Below are 16,944 nucleotides of genomic sequence, written 5' to 3' on the forward strand. Positions count from 1 at the left end.
TTTTTTTGAGACGGAGTCTTGCTCTGTCGCCCAGGCTGGAGTGCAGTGGCGTGATCTCCGGTCACTGCAAGTTCCGCCCCCCGGGTTCACGCCATTCTCCCGCCTCGGCCTCCCGAGTAGCTGGGACTACAGGAACCAGCCACCAGGCCCGGCTAATTTTTTTTTTTTTTTTTTTTTTTTTTTTGGTATTTTTAGTAGAGAGGGGGTTTCACAGTGTTTGCCAGGATGGTCTTGATCTCCTGACCTCGTGATCCGCCCACCTCGGCCTCCCAAAGTGCTGGGATTACAGGCATGAGCAACCACACCCGGCTCCAGTGTCTGTTTTATTTAGATAATATTGTTCAAAGTAGGACAGCTGTGGGGACTTGGGATTCAGAGCCATGGCTACGGGCGCAGCACAAAGGCAGGAGAGAGGTTATAATGCAAACAGCCACAAAGATAGGGTTTTGAGTTTATTATTAGCTAACTATTTAATTATTTTAAACTATTTTCTGCCCTTGGTTTCTTTATCTGTAAAATGGGGGAATTGAAATCTATCTTATTCAACTGTGAAGATTTGCGATTGTAAAGTGGTATTTATGTATTCAAAACTGGTAAATATTTTTATTATCTGTTGTAACAATAATAATCCCAGTTGCCTACAGTTTGTTGGGTGGCATTTCTTAAACAACCATGTGAAAATAAGAATGACTTGGGACCTTCTTTTTGATTAAAGAATGAGTTGAACTATGGAAGGTTTCTAGAGTCTCTTCCTGATCTAAACTATGCTATTCATTCTTTTTTTTTTTTCCTGAGACAGAGTCTTGCTCTGTTGCCCAGGCTGGAGTACAGTGGTGCAATCTCCATTCACTGCAACCTCCGACTTCTGGGTTCAAGCAATTCTCGTTCCTCAACCTCCCAAGTAGCTGGGATTACAGGCGCATGCCACCAAGCCCAGCTAATTTTTGTATTTTTAGTAGAGACAGGGTTTCACGATGTTGGCCAGGCTGGTCTTGAACTCCTGGCCTCAAGTGATCCACCCACCTCAGCCTCCCATAGTGCTGGAATTACAGGCATGAGCCACCATGCTCAGCCAAACTAGGCTATTCATTCTTAAGAGCATAACAATAAATAGTGCAGGTGCTAGAACCAGGTTTTCTGAGTTCAAATTCTTCAGCCAGTTACCAGTGGTGCAATCTTGAGCAAATTATGTAAACCCTTAAGAATCTTTATTTCTAATTTACAATATTCAAATAGCATAATGATCTCAGTTTCAGCATCTGCAGTACACAAATAACCATAGTAACTACTGGATATGGTTGTTGCAAGAATCAAATAAATTAACCTACTTAAAGCAATGGCTGCCCAATAAATGTTAGCAATAATGATGAAGATAGCAATGAGAACAATAATGATAGTCCTTTATCAGCCAGCTATTGGAGTTTGAAATTCTCGCCATACAAGTAAGTCAGGTGTGGTTTAGCAAATATGAGACATTCAGAAAAATGAAGGGCAGAATGTGCAAGGAATGAGCACAAGGGTGAATAAACTATAATGTGGGGCAGGAAAGAGGAATCATGGGACATTTATTTGATCATTAAATAAAGAAGGATCCTAAAACCTAGTGATTTTGCTAAAAACATTCCAACAGTTCTGTAGGCTTGGGACCCTGAAGAGGAGTAGAGCTGATCTCTGGGGAAAGACATGCACTGAGAAAGATAAGTGGGATATTAAAAGGAGGGTGAGGGTGGGGATGGGGGTGTTAACACCTTCACAAAGAGATCCCTCTTGGAAGTGAAGTGTATAACTTTTGCTTTCCAAAAAAGTTTGATGATATCTTTTCATACGATGGCCTGAATTGACTATTTATCTAGACAACCTTTCCAGCAGCTGTTTTGGACTGAATTATGTCTCACCCTACCACCAATACTTATGTGTTGAAGTCCTAATCCCTAATGTGACTATATCTGGAGATAGAGCCTTTAAGGAAGTAAGTAAGGTTAAATGAGGGCATAAGGGTAAAGTCCTAATCCAACAGTATCCATAAGATGAGAAAAAGACAGACACCAGAAATGTGTATGCACACAGAGAAAAGGCCATGTAAGGACAACGAGAAGGTGGCAGCCTGGAAGCAAAGGGGACAGGCCTCATGAGAAGCCCACCCTGCTGGCACCTTGAGCTTGGATTTCTGGCCTCCAGAACTGTGAGAAAATAAATTTCTGCTGTTTAAGCCACTAGGCCTGTGGTATCTTATATTAGCAGCCCTGGAAGACTAATACAGTAACTCCAAGAACTTGCGGTTTCTCTGATTAACAGAAAGGAAGAAGAAGGAAGAAGAGGAAAAGGAAAAGGAAGAAGGAGGAGGAAGAGGGAGAGGAGAAGGAAAAGAGAGAGGAGGAGGAAAAGGAGAACAAGAAGGAGAAGAGGAAGAGGAAGAAGAAGAAGAAAGAAGAAGAAGAAGACTTGCAGAAGGGAAAAAGAGATGGAGAGGCAGAGGAAGAGGAGAGGAATGCTCCTTGGTATCTACTTTGGACCACAATATTGTAAATAGTTATTACTGCTGAAAAACCTTCCCATGACCCTCCAGTGAGGATGAAGAGTTCACCTCTCTCCGGCGCACACGCTCAGGATTAGTGCCACCTAGTTCCCACCTTCCTCTGCATGTGCACTAAAACCATTCATATTTGCCACCCAGTAGCTTTCCCAGCCATCGCATTCACTGAAATTAAATCCAAAGCAAAATGATATTTTAAGTAAAATTACCTCTACTCTAAAGAGAAGAAGAATAAAAAGGAAGCTTAGCTATCTGTAAAACATCTCACTGTGATAAACAGACAACAAAATACTTATCAAATTCTTAGGAAAGTTGTCTATCTTATATAGGGCTACAATGAGAGAAAAATTTGTGTCTAATAAATGGATAGCTCTATCATGATAAATAACTAATGTATGTGGGGCTTAATAACTAGGAGATGGATTGATAGGTGCAGCAAACCACCACGGCACACGTTTACCTATGGAAAAAACCTGCTTGTCCTGCACGTGTATCCTGGAACTTAAAACAAAATTAAATTAAATAAAAAGAGAAAGCAATGGATAGCTCGAAGAGAAATACAAATATGACAAATTAAAACATGTTTTTACTCTCAGTCAGCTTTGTGATCATCAGTCCTTCTGTCCCCTACTTCGACGACTAAGATGGTACCTGTTTGTCAAAAATTTAAAGGTAAAAACTAAATGTTTTTCAAGACATTTCTGTATTATAAGCCACCTGATAAATTTGCATTAGAATTGATTAGTTTGTCTTCTGTTTTCAGAAACTATGGGTGTTATATTAAAAACTACTAGAACATTGTACAATAGGGAAGAGAATTATATCAAAATGACACTATTTTCAGTTGGCATTTATAGAAAGACTGCATTCGGATATGAGGGCCATAGTTAGTACCTCACCACCCCCAGCCTCCAAATGTCCAATTTGCATCCTTACTAGCTAAAGAAAAAGCTCTAGCATTACACTGAACCAACTCCAATGTGACAGAGGAGGACCATTTAAAAGGAAATAATGTATTCAACAGTAAAATTCTTGCCTGTTGAGGTCACCTCATCATCCTTCCCTATTTTGTTTGAGTTTACTGGCTGGAGACTATTTTAATTCGTTTTATAGCAGAACAGTTAGACTATGCTCCATTTATTATAAACATTTGGTTTGCATAGAAGATTTGTTATGTTTTATTAATCCATCACATAGTCTTTCTAAAAATGTGATGAACGAGGCAGCATAAAATGTCATTCTTTATACACTTTAGGTGGTTTGGCAATTAAGGCGTCGAGCCTCTGTGGCTCTTCTGAATCAAAGGCTGTTTTCTGATATGGATCCATCTTGCCCACATCATCTATGGAATGACAAAACAGATGATATATCCAAGCATCTGACAGCACTATTTCTATCAGGTTATAACCCTATTTGATAAACTCAAATCAGCAGCAAAACTATACCAGATTAATGAAAACCTCTCCAAAAGTGCACCCTGCCACTTCATTTCTGGGGAATTACAGCTAAGATACATTCTAAAAACATTCACATCAAATGGGGCAGGCTTTTTAGAAGAATATTTTATTTAAAGCGACTGGGGAGGGGGAGAGTGAAACACCTGCAGGACTGTGTGTTCATCACATCATGTCCAAGAAGCTGCAGCAGGAACAAAATAAAATGAAATGTGTTTTTTGCAGATGAACAAAAGCTTCTTCAATTATAAAAGAGTAAACTGATAATAGAATCACAGAGACAAAGAAGTAATCCAAACACATGGCTCACTGCTTACCATATATGCAACATAGAAACAAGTTGCACCCTATTGCATATAGAAAGAGACAGGGGAAGAAAGTAAAGAAGACAGAAAATAGAAGAAGGAAATATGAGCTGCACGTTTTACTACACTTAGCTCACATTGCATTCAAAGGATAATTTCATGTATAAAAATCGTTTAACTCAATAATGTAGCAAAATTTCTGGCTTGTATGTAATTATTGAAGAACACTAGCACCATTTTTTTCTAAGAAGATAACACTGTCATATTCAGATCGGGACCTTTTACCATGCAATAAAAAACCATTAATAAAAATTTATTTTTAACATCAGCAAGCCCAAAATACTTTGAAATATCAATTTTAAGGGATACTTTCTCCTGTATCTTTTATTATAAATGTTATGCAGACAAAGGCAGTAACCAAAAATCAATTTTTAATATATTTCTTCCTACCACAGGGCATGAGCAACATTAATGGCTTCTGCATCTACATGGTTACAATTATTAGTTTTGCCTTTCTAACACAGTGCACATAAAGTCTGCTCGGCTTACAATTTGGGGGATGGAGGTTCTATTCTGAAGGTTTTTCTGGATGTAAGTTAATAAGCAACAATCCAAGATCCTGAGAGTCATGCCATTACTTGCTTCTCCTATCCAGCATCCTGATATTTACACGATCACTTACACGGAGACAGCAGAGCAACTTAAAACTTAATGATCCCAATTCACAACCCTGCGGGGGGGACAAGAAGCTGCTGTAAACCTATTGAGGGATGGTGCCATGGATCCTGGCTGTGCAGGGAGGGAAAATAACCATTTGGATGGTTTTGCTTCGCCTCTATTCAGATAGCCTCAGCATGCACCTTTGTGCCTCTTCCCTCCCAGTGTGCAATGTCTTTAGTGCTATTGCTGAGGACAGGTGTAGTGGATATCTCCTCTCTCCTCTGCTCAACGCACCTGATCTCTCTGGAGAACCATCCCTCTCTCTATGAACAGCCTTATTGGGGCTGCTAATCAGGGTAGATGGCTCTCTCCTAGCCAGGGGGTAATTAGGGGAATTAGCCCACTGAAAAGACTGTTTAATATTTCCTTCCGGTTGGCTCCTCAGAAGACCCTGGCCCTTCAGACTTTGCTGAAGCTTGGTTCTTCATGTTTTCCTCTGATTCAGTAGCTATCCCGTAGCCTTTCTTTTCTGTTTTGATTAATTTAGACAGCATCAACTCCTGTGGCTAGAATCCAAACTCCCAGCCAGCAAAAAAAAAAAAAAAAAAAAAAAATGGAGGATACATGGCTTGGTCTTTATTTTCTTCCAAACTTGTATTTAGTGATGTCATCTATCTGCTCAAACATCTTCAGTAGCTCCCTTTCTTTATCATTTTAAAAATCATTATTCCTCTGTGAGGCACTCAAGGGTCCTGTCATCTGGTCCCACCCTGTCTACCCAAACTTAATTCCTGCTTTCCCCTAGAAGGAGCTCACTAAGTAAATTCACTTTTCTTGCTTAACACTATTCTGAGGATATACATGTTCTTTTGGTCACTCTACTTAACAAATCTCCTAATCTTTGCAAGCCATGATTCTTAGTTGGAAACAAAAGTACCCATTTGTGCAAGTTTAGACAGAAAAAAATACAATCGAAGGGATATAAAGAACTTCCCAGAAACTCCAGGAAGAGTAGAGCATCAAGCTGGAAGCTAAGCAACCAGGAGCAATGCCCAAATGTCATTTCAGGGCAGCTCAGCGGGGACCCAAGGCATTTGGAGCCGGCCACAGACTCTCCACCACATAGGATGGAGGCTTCCACTAGATATTCTACCCCTACCACCTCTGATAGCAGGTTCTGAAGTGGAGCCTATATTTTCAGGTAGCTGGCCTCCAAACTGAAGTCCCACATGGGTGCAGAACTTAGATCACATGTCTTCACCTTAGAATCAAAGGAGTCTGGGAAACAAGTTTCTGTCTCCTGCCTTCAGGGAGGTATGAATGCATAAGGTCCTGGGTGACCGTGAACTTGACAAACGTCCACTATGCTAGCCTTATGGCCCCACCTCCTCCATAAGACCTTCTTCAAGTTTTCTAATATGTAATTTCTCCCTTGTCTCTGAACTCCTTGTAACTCATTATCTACATCTCAAATGTTCTGCTTGATTTAACACATTTAAACCACATTATAATTTGCAAAGCACTTCTACACATATCTCTTTTGATCTTCCCAATATCCTTGCAGTTGAGTATTTCTCCTAGTCCCCATTTATAGAGAAGGCAATGGACTTTTAGTAAAAGTGAGTGACTTACCCAGCTTCCTACTGAATATATACTATATACATTATCTTCAGTCAATACACCATGAGAGCAGAAATCTCAAATTGCTGACCTCATAACCAGAAGAACATAACACATGCAAAAGAAAAAGTTCTTTACTTTTCAACTTAGATAACAAAGTTAAACAGCATAGACAACCATAGGACATCACCTTTCCAAGGAAATGTTCCAAGGATACAATTGCCATAGAGATCCTCCCTATAAGTCTCCTTGTATAGTCACTCAAGCCAATTGGGCAGCTTGAGGGAAATTAGGTGTGGGCTGGAAAAGGAGCATTCCTGGAAAATGAGATCAGCATCACTGACCAAAGAGAAGGGGCCAGGAGGAGGAAAGGAGTTTCACAGTACAGAAAGGGAGAGCCCAGGTCCAAACCCTTCAACGAGGAGTCCACAACCAGAGACCAGAACCCCCTAATACAGCAGAAATGCTGTAATACTTTTAAACTTTGTAATTTCCCCATGTGTGTACTATTTTTTAAATTACTATTATTCTCTGTGTTCATTTTGCTGTTTTGTTTTGCTTTGCTTTGATCAGTTTGATCACAAAGCGATCTTTAGTAGATTCCCTCACGCTTTTTTTTGAGGTCACAAGGAATAGGGAAGCTAAGGAGATGCTGGGCTTAGTGAAAAGAGAAAGCTCAGGAATTACATAAGAGTAACTGAATCGAAGAAAAGAAAAGCAGAAAAGGTTGGGTCCTGAGGCCAGAAGGAAAATGTAAGGCCAACATAAAGAGCCAGAATTAAGCAGAAAAAGAGCAAGAAGTTTTGACTCACACACATCAAGAAAATGACACCTTTTCATCTCGTTTCTCCCTGAGTGCTGAAAAATATATCCACTCCTACCCATAAGCAAAAGATACTTCTGAGAGAGAATCTCCTCAGAATATGTCTTCTTCTTCCAAAATGGGCTTTTATATTAGTCAAGAGACAGGTTTAGATACTATAGCAAAGATCTTCAAAATAATAGTAGTTTAAACAAAAGAAAAGTTTGTTTCACATAACAGTTCAAATAACAATCAGTCCTAGGCTGAAATGCTGTCCATTCCAGGTACTCAGCCATCCTTAATCCACTGGTTCTAACTCATGGTCTAGAGAGCTGCTCCAGAGCCTGCCATCATGGTGGCATTCCAGCCAGTGGAGCGAAAAATAAGACAACGTCATGGCCATGCTCCTTTCTCCAATGAGCTGTGCCTGGAAGTTGAAAATGTCATGCACACCCACATCCCATTGACTAGAACCATCACATGGCCACACTCCACTACAAGAAAGGCAAGGAAATGTGGTCTATAGTGGGCAGTGTGAGCTCAGCTAAAATTCAGAGATGCTATACTAAAAAAAGAAGAAATGATAAATATTGAAGGACAACCAGCAGTGTTTCTCAACAGCCTACAAATAAAAAAGACCTGAGTTTAAATCCTGGCTCTGTCACTGATCAGCTGCTTCACCTGAAATAAGCTATTTATTCTGGTTAAGTTTTTGTTTTCTCATCTATAAAGTTGGGATTAAAACACTCACATGGAGAGAGTTGTAAAGATTCAGTAAGATAACGTCTGTAAAGCAGTTGACCCACAGAAAGGCAGTTGATATGTAACAGTACTTAATATTTTATTATTATTATTATCTTTAACGAAGTTTGGCAAACTACAGCCCATGGGCCGAATTTGGCTCACCACCTGGTTTTATAAATAAAGTTTTATTGGGACACAGCCAATCCCCCTTTTTTACACACTGTCTATGGCTCCTTTCACACTACAATGGCAGCGCTGGATCATTGCAACAGAAGCAATGTGGCCTGCAAAATTTAAAATATATACTGTCTGCTTCTTTACAGAAAAAAAGTTTAACTGACCTTTGACCTATAAAATCAAACAAACCTTTCTGTAGGTCACATATGTTCTTTTTTCTCAGTGGCAAAATGTAGTCATTGTACCTACTTCAGATTATTATTGTAAAAATAAAGGAAATAAATTATATAAAGCATCTGGCATCACAGAAATAAATACTCTATAACTTTTTATCCTGTTTTATTTCCCTTAGTGTATGGTCAGCATTGCTTCTATGAGAACACTACTGAATGCATGAAGGACATCGTGAGACAAAAGCAAGTATCTTATTATAACGTGCTTACATATTAAAATCAGATGCAGTGCCTTTAAAACAGGTAACGACCACACAGGGCAGCAACAACTCATGCTGGATATGCTAGGAATTGCTGTGTGCACCTTCAGTGATTACCTGAAGTCCAAGTAAGAAAAACAGCATCCACTTTCATACAAGGAATAAGTTCTTTATATACATATGGCCAAAATATGTAAAGTTTGAAATGTGAAGATGCAAAATCTAAGCCAAGAATTTCTAGAAATACAGGATATAGAGAAAATGGAACAATGCCTTATGCATAGAAATATTAATTAAATGAAGAGAAGAAATGGAGGGAGGAAGAGAGGTAGGTAGGAGACAGAGGAAGGGAGGGAGGAAGGGATCCTTCAATGGCTTTCCAGTGTTTTTACAAGAAGGAAGAAAATTCTTCCTGGCCCATCCTGTCTCCCTCTTTAGCTAACCCCACACCACCAGCACCTCTCATTTTCTTCTTGCCAACCATACCATGCTTCTTGAAGTTTCTTAAAATTGCCCCATCTCTCTTTCCTTTATTGTCCTCCATGCACCCTGTTCTACATGGCTAACACAGTATTCTCCTACCATTTTCAATTGTACATTTTCTTTAGTAATAACATCTTATCACCCATTCTTTTATGTATTTAGTCATTTATAAATTATATATACAATTTATGTATGTGTATTTTTCTTCAAAAATGCCAAAAATAAACATTTTAAAGTTAGATTACAAAGTTATTATGAGCTCCGTTATTAATAGTTTCTCATATCTTCTGGACATCCACACCTGAATTTTTCTCCCCAGGCTCTATGACCAACTCATTTTCCTCCAGGTTTCATCTGGAAGGTCACTTCCTCAGGGAATCCTTCCTATACCAGGGGATTCCTGTTCTTCTATGCTCTCATAGATCTTTTTACTTCTCCTTCATGGTGCTTCTCACAGTCTAAACTCTATGCTTGTTTGAAATTATTCAATTAATGTCACTCCCTCTCTCTTTCTCCCAACCCCATCTCATCAGTAATTCTAACATCTACTCAAATGTCTATTCCAACTTCCAGTGGGGATAAAGATTGTGTCCGATTTACCTACCAAGGTTTCCGTATCATGTGTGCTTTGGCATATTGTAGATCTCACTAAAAGAGTAATTAAACTAATAAAAAACTAGTCTATAAAAGAAAAGGATGCTTTAAAAAAAGTCTTAGGGAATAAATTTTTAAAAATTGTCATATTAAGAAGGTAGCTGATAAGGTAAAGCCAGGTGTATAATCATGTATCACTTTCCACAGGCATCTTCATTTTTCAAAAAAGGCTTTTCTATATGTAATTGCATCAGATTCTCTCAACATCTTCAAGTAGATGAGATTAGGGATTTTTATCCCCATTTTACAGATGAGGGAACTGAAGTGCAGAGAGTAGGAATGATTTTCCTAAAGCCATACAGTAAGTTGGTAGCAGAACAAGAACCGAAATCCACATCTCCCAACTCCCAGCCTACACTGGCCAGTGGTCAGACAGGATGTAGAGAGCAATTTCCCCAGGCATTGGGAAGTTCTTGATGCCTTGGGGAAGATGTGAATTAGAGTTGTCGGACGAACCCACTATACGCAATGCCATCTAAGGCTGACAAACATTTCAGAGTGGCCAGAAGACAGAAATGGAAATAATTAAAGCTCTGGGAATTAAAAGCAAGAAAGATTACAGAACGTTCGTGAAAGTTTGGAGGACAAAAGCTGAGAGATGAGTTACTAACAGTCTTCAAGTCCATCAATGTTTATTACATGGCGGTTGGGTAGCCAGCTGTTCTTCAGTTCTGAAGACTACCAAACAAATGGGAAATTGTAAATTCTACAAGGACACACACTCCATTCATGACACAGACGACTGGGTGAGCAAAGCAGTTGTCAGACTGCAGAATTCACTTCTGGTATCTCAGTCCCTGATGAGAAAGAGTGAGAAGGGCTCATCTAACAGGGCGTGTATTCTGATGGAAAGTCTGTGGAAGAGGCTGGCTCCTGCGGACCAGCACTGTCCAATGTACAGAGGTGGCTTTGATGCATAAGGAAGTTTCCAGGCCAGGATAATTAGATATATCTCTGCAATTTTTTTTTTTTTTTTTTTGCTGACCACACTTGAACTGTGGGCATTGATTCTCAGCTTCTTTTTAGAAGAAAATATTTTAGCTAAACAGACATGTAGTAAGCAGAGATAAAGGCACATCCATAAGCATTGTGATTTTGACCAATTACTTATCTAAACGGGAGGGAGCTGTTTTCAAATTTGACAATGGAGCAAAACAAAACAAAAACAAACTATAAAATCACACACAAATCACAATGAGAAAAGAGAACATTGAGATGTTTCTATTTGATCATCAAACTAACAAACAAGTAATTTACATATCTTTATAATGGTTCTAATTGGGGCTATTTCTCATGAGAGTCAATTATGCCAAAAGCACATCATACATCATACCCTACCCAGTTTTTTAATGAGAAAATTATGGTACACAATGGTAAATTAACTTGAAATATGCTGGTTAAAAAATCAGAAAACCTGTCCCTCTAGCCTTAGTTCTGAGACATAACCCCAAGTCTGACCTTGGACAATGACCCTTCATCTCTTTAGACCTCAGTTTCTTATCTGTAAGATAAGAAGACTTGATTTGAAACTCCCCGAGCCCTTTGTCAGTTCTAAAACAACCCAACTCTCTGATTGTGCACTCCTGAAGAGTTAGGAAAGGTAAGTTATGTATTAAAGACTCCCTCAGTGCCAACGTGAAAATTAGAAAATTTCTAGTAAACACTTGGAAGGTAAAGTGTTCACTGGGATACATCACAGTATTAATTGAAATGCCTTAAGGCAGATTAAAAAAAAAGTCTCTGAAATATTTACATATACTTAATAAAGATTAGCTAGGGGAAAATAGAAAGATTTCACCGTACTTTGGTTCGTGGCATTCTTCATCAATTAAACTTAAATGTTTAACATTTTGACTCAGGTTCTCAAATTAAAATGATTTGTATATGACTCCAGGTAACATTCAGTTAAAAGTAAGAGTTAATAAGTCTCTACTTGCAAGGATAACGGTGTAGTATTTAGCCAGCTTACGCAGTCAGCACTCTGAGACTTCTCAACAAGCTCAGAGCACTAGACTTTTTCCTGCAAGAGGTAGAAGCAAACTCTTACAGAAAAGGCTTACAGAAACCTAGACTACATTAGGCATTTTATATACATGATCTCATTTCATTCTTTCAGTCTTACGATAACAGTTGGTAGCAGCCTCTAAATTTTAGTAGTAGATAATGAAATTGAGGCTGAGAAAAGTCAAATTTGCCCTAGGTCACACAGTTCACTATCCAGCAAAAACAAAATTCTAACTCAGGCATGTGGATTCTCTCTAATATACTGTCTTGCCTCTCTGGAGTATATTATTCAACAATGAGGCATTATTGAGCCTCCACGTTAAATAAATGACTTGTTCAAAGAGAGAATTACAAACAAATCCACAAAATGCATATCAGACATCAGCAGGAATATCATTTCTCTTTTGTATCTTCAAATTCTCCTATATAACCTGGCAATTACACTTCGTTTATTTCATTATTAATACTACTGCCAAGAGAATGAACACAGAACTTGTTGTAAAAGTAAATCCCCAGGTATCTAGGCTTACTTTCCATTATAAAGTCCCATAACACCTCTTAGGGAATACGTTGTAGATATTTGATGGATGCAAAATGGAAATTTCCTTATAGTAGTCCATGTGGCAGAAATATCAAGTCAAAGGCACAGAATTGCAAAATCGCTTGATGAAAACAATATTAAGAATATTGAGTTTGTCCACCTCACTTGCTTTCTGGAAGCCCTGCATTTCAGACACAGATGACACAGAGGAATCCCTCTGCACCTGAAGAACAGCAAAAGGTGATTTCTTTGTAGCAGGATTTCTTTTACTACAGATCCAAACCTTTGCATGCATATTGTAAATCACATTAACACTCATTCCCCACCATTGTGCCCTCTAAAATATATTCCAGCCCTCAAGAATTACTTTTGATTCTCTAAGCCCATCATGCTTTCCTTGCCTCTGAGTTTTAACAGATGCTGTTCACTCAGCTCAGACAGCCCTATTCTCTCCCAGCATCCACCTAATTTCTGTCTCTATTGCCTTAGGGGTCTGTGTCACTGCTTCCTGGAAGCCTTTCCTAACTCCCACCCTACCCACCATGTCCATAAGCAGTGTCTCTCCTGTATGTTTCCAGAGCATCTCATCATCCCTGTATTCTAGCACATACACTTCTAAGTTATGTTACCTCCGACCTGTCTCATTTCTCCACTCAATTAGAAGCCGACGTTTATTCACCATGGTATCCATAGCTCCCAACTCAAGGTTAGCACCTGATAGGTTATCTACAGATGCCTTTATTATTATTATTATACTTTAAGTTCTGGGGTACATATGTAGAATGTGCAGGTTTGTTACATAGGTATGCACCTGCCACGGTGGTTTGCTGCACCCATCAACCCGTCACCTACATTAGGTATTTCTCCTAATGCTATCTCTCACCTAGCCCACCCACCCCCCAACAGGCCCCAGTGTATGATGTTCCCTTCCCTGTGTCCATGTGTTCTCATTGTTCAACTCCCACTTATGAGTGAGAACATGTGGTGTTTTTCTGTTCTTGTGTTAGTTTGCTGAGAATGATGGTTTCCAGCTTCATCCTTGTCCCTGCAAAGGACATGAACTCATCCTTTTTTATGGCTGCATAGTGTTCCATGGTGTATATGTGCTACATTTTCTTTATCCAGTCTATCACTGATGGACATTTGGGTTGGTTCCAGGCCTTTGCTATTGTGAATAGTGCTGCAATGAACATATGTGTGCATCTGTCTTTGTAGTAGAATGATTTATAATCCTTTGGGTATATGCCCAGTAATAGGATTGCTGAGTCAAATGGTATTTCTAGTTCTAGATCCTTGAGGAATCACCACACTGTCTTCCACAGTGGTTGAACTAATTACACTCCCATCAACAGTGTAAAAGTGTTCCTATTTCTCCACATTCCCCCAGCATGTTCTTTCCTGACTTTTTAATACAGATGCTTTTTAATTGAATGAGACTGAAGAACTCTGGTGTGCAACATTGTTGGAAAGACCCAGATGCAAATACCATCCTCAAACAAACCTTTGAAAAATACACTTGTTAAAATTTCAGTGTACTGAAGATTAATTAAATTATATAGGGTATGTTCATGTGAAATTTATATACAGAGATAGATATGTATATTTATGTAGAACAGGCATTAAATACAACACATAAAAAGTTTTAACCATAAAAATAATTTGCATCGTAAGTTTATGTGTTTATATTTGTGTGCATATATATATATACACACACACATAAATCTATGCACACTTAGAGGTCAAGGAAATAGTATACTATTATACATATATTTTAAATAGCATTATATATTACTATGTATTTTTTATATAATATTTATACATATAATAGTATAATACAGATTTATATAAATAGATATTATTATATAATATATACTATATTATATATAATATATAAAATATATACTATATGTAATATATACTATACATATAGTATACATACACTATTATATATATACATATAATAGTATACTACATCCTTGACCTCTAGGGAACAAATCTTACATTTGGACATTTCCAGATGCAGACATGGCTATGCACAAAAGCAAGGCTGGAAAGGTTGCCTGCAAGTATATATTTATCAAAGTGTTTCTAATGTCCCATCATTACAAGATCTAATACCTTCTAAACTTTCAGATGACTGGCTTTAGAATTTGGGGTGAAGTTTTCTTTTAATAATGCACATTTCAATCCTCGGTTAACAAGAGGTCACGTCAATAATTAATGGTTTCTGTAGCAGTTGAACACTGCATCATTTTCTTGACAGATTTTTTTTAAATGTATGCTTTGTCTTCATAACTAAGTGCAAGTGGGTAAGGGAATAGGGAAGTGTGGCATGATGCATTTGAGCTTTACATTTTTAACCTGTGCTCTAAGTATTATCATATCTTATCCCCTTTGACAGGCACAGCAATCCTGCAGGAAAATTGGGGAGAGAGGAAGAGGGGCAGGTAACAAAAGTGGAAAACACTATTATATATATTTTATAAAATTAGAGAAACCAAAGTGTAGAAGAATGGCATAGCTTTGCTAAGAACACAAGCTCCATTAGAACAGGAACATTGCTTTTACTTTTCATCACTTTACCACTGGCATGGTTGTTGCTCAATACATATTTACTGTATTAAATAATGAATGAGTGAATAAATGAATGAGCAAATGAATACTAAAGTTTTCTGTAGAAAGAATTGCTCAACTAATTTTCTGACTCCCCATATCATGAACTTATTAATGTATGAAATATTTTGTTCTCAGGCTATTCTTTGACAAGATTTAAAATGATTTAAAAGAAAATAATTACATATATGCAAAACAAATAACTGATAATTTTATCCCCACCCCAAAAGGCAAAACTGTTGAAATTTTTTTTAATTAGCTTCTTTAAATAATTTGTACCTACCATGAATGCTTATTTCTAGGGATATATATACATATATATGTATTTATATATAGATATGTATCTTATATATAGATATGTATATCTATATATCCCTAGAAATAAGCATTATAATTATTAATTATATATTATATATAATATATATTACATATTAATTATGTATATATAATATACATTATATATTATTAATTATGTATATATAATCCATGGAATACATATAACGCATATTCCAATCCTTGGTTAAAAAGAGGTCACATCATATATTATATATATGATAATGGATAATAATAACAATAATAAATTGAGCCTTTTTGTTGATAATTTACAAGGTACTCTGAAGGCACAGAATAACAATATCAATAATAGTAAATTTTGTCATGCAAATATTGTATACAGTATATTATGTGATACTTATGTATTAGTGCAGCAATTACACAGCACCACCTTATCACAGTAGAAGTGCACCCTAGATTGTAGTAAGCAGAACTAAGGCACATTAGGATAGATTGTGTTCTTACAGTAATTACTGGAATACTACATTATCCATAAGAAAATTGCCACATGCTTCCATGAAACATAAGGAACGACATCCGTCTCCCATTTTATCACCGTAAGAACTCTGCCAGCCACTCTGGAGACTGAGTTCCAGCTGAGAAGCATTCAACATTTCCTGATCCCTGGAGAACTGAGTTAGTGCACTCAGGTCTAGCTCATCACTCAGGGGTGTATGCAGCCATCCTGACGTGGGGTTTCTGGAAGCATCACTAACTCGGAGGCGATGAACAGAAATGGAGGAGCATCCAAGACCTAGGCACAATTTTTCATCAATTTGACCTACATCCATTTGTAATCAGTTCTTTTAACTGGAGGAGAGTAAAGCATGACCACTGACAAAGCAAAAACCACGTCGAGTAGGAGAGAGAAAGATTCCTCTCCCTCTGATACAGAAATTCACATCTGTGGCTAAAACTGTTCTCCAAAGCACTGAAATAAAATAAAAGTATCTAAACAGCTCACCCTACAAGAGTTTGGAAGCTGCAATCAAACTATCCTCATAAGTAGAAGACATGTTTAAATGTAGTTTTCACATATCCACTTAAAATGAGAAAGAAAAGAGCTCTCTAGAATCATATTACTAATATTAACCAGGTGGGAAGGCCCTTCCCAAGTCCAGTCCTCAAAGGTCAGTCATAAATGACACAGCCACTCCACTTTCTGGAAATGATAGCAATTCCTCCATAGATAAGCCAATTAAGAGAGAGGGAAAGGCAGATAGCTTTGTGGTTTTGAGAAGGGATGTAAAAGTCCAATGAAAGTTCTATGAAATGAGGAATAATGTTTCTCACCCTTATACTACAGTGTCAAGCACAATACTGCTCAATAAATATTTGTCAAGTAGATCAAACAATTGATTAATCTAGAATTAACAAAAATCAACCAGGTAAGAGAAGCACCTGACACTGAGAAAATTACTCAGACAAACACAATCTCTGCTTGAAGGGAAAGCCCTTCAAACCTGGGGGCTCCTCCACTCTGATTGCATCAGGGGAGCTTTCCCTCTTGAAAGAGCTTCAAAGAGATCATAAAAGGAAAAGCTGGGTGGCTGAGGCAGTGACATACAAGAGCCTACAAAGAGGCAAA

At 37.9% G+C, this 16,944-nt stretch overlaps 1 protein-coding gene across 15 annotated transcripts in view, besides 2 other annotated features; it reads right to left on the reverse strand.

The window, feature by feature from the left end:
• Window positions 1-16,944, reverse strand: part of PPARGC1A (PPARG coactivator 1 alpha) — a 680,885-nt gene that overhangs the window by 182,623 nt on the left and 481,318 nt on the right. The gene's annotated exons all lie outside the window — the stretch shown is intronic.
• Window positions 4,739-5,441: an enhancer, noted in NCBI's record as "OCT4-NANOG hESC enhancer chr4:23981005-23981707 (GRCh37/hg19 assembly coordinates)". NCBI's record gives its function as "activates a minimal SCP1, AML or CMV promoter by ChIP-STARR-seq in naive H9 embryonic stem cells {active_cell/tissue: H9 hESC(naive)}" and the evidence as "EXISTENCE:reporter gene assay evidence [ECO:0000049][PMID:30033119]".
• Window positions 4,903-5,197: a silencer, noted in NCBI's record as "tiled region #9076; K562 Repressive non-DNase unmatched - State 24:Quies". NCBI's record gives its function as "represses a minimal TATA promoter and a strong SV40 promoter by Sharpr-MPRA in K562 cells {active_cell/tissue: K562}" and the evidence as "EXISTENCE:reporter gene assay evidence [ECO:0000049][PMID:27701403]".

The sequence above is a fragment of the Homo sapiens genome, chromosome 4 (genome assembly GCF_000001405.40).
Source record: "Homo sapiens chromosome 4, GRCh38.p14 Primary Assembly".
In the NCBI taxonomy this organism is placed as follows: Eukaryota; Metazoa; Chordata; class Mammalia; order Primates; family Hominidae; genus Homo; species Homo sapiens.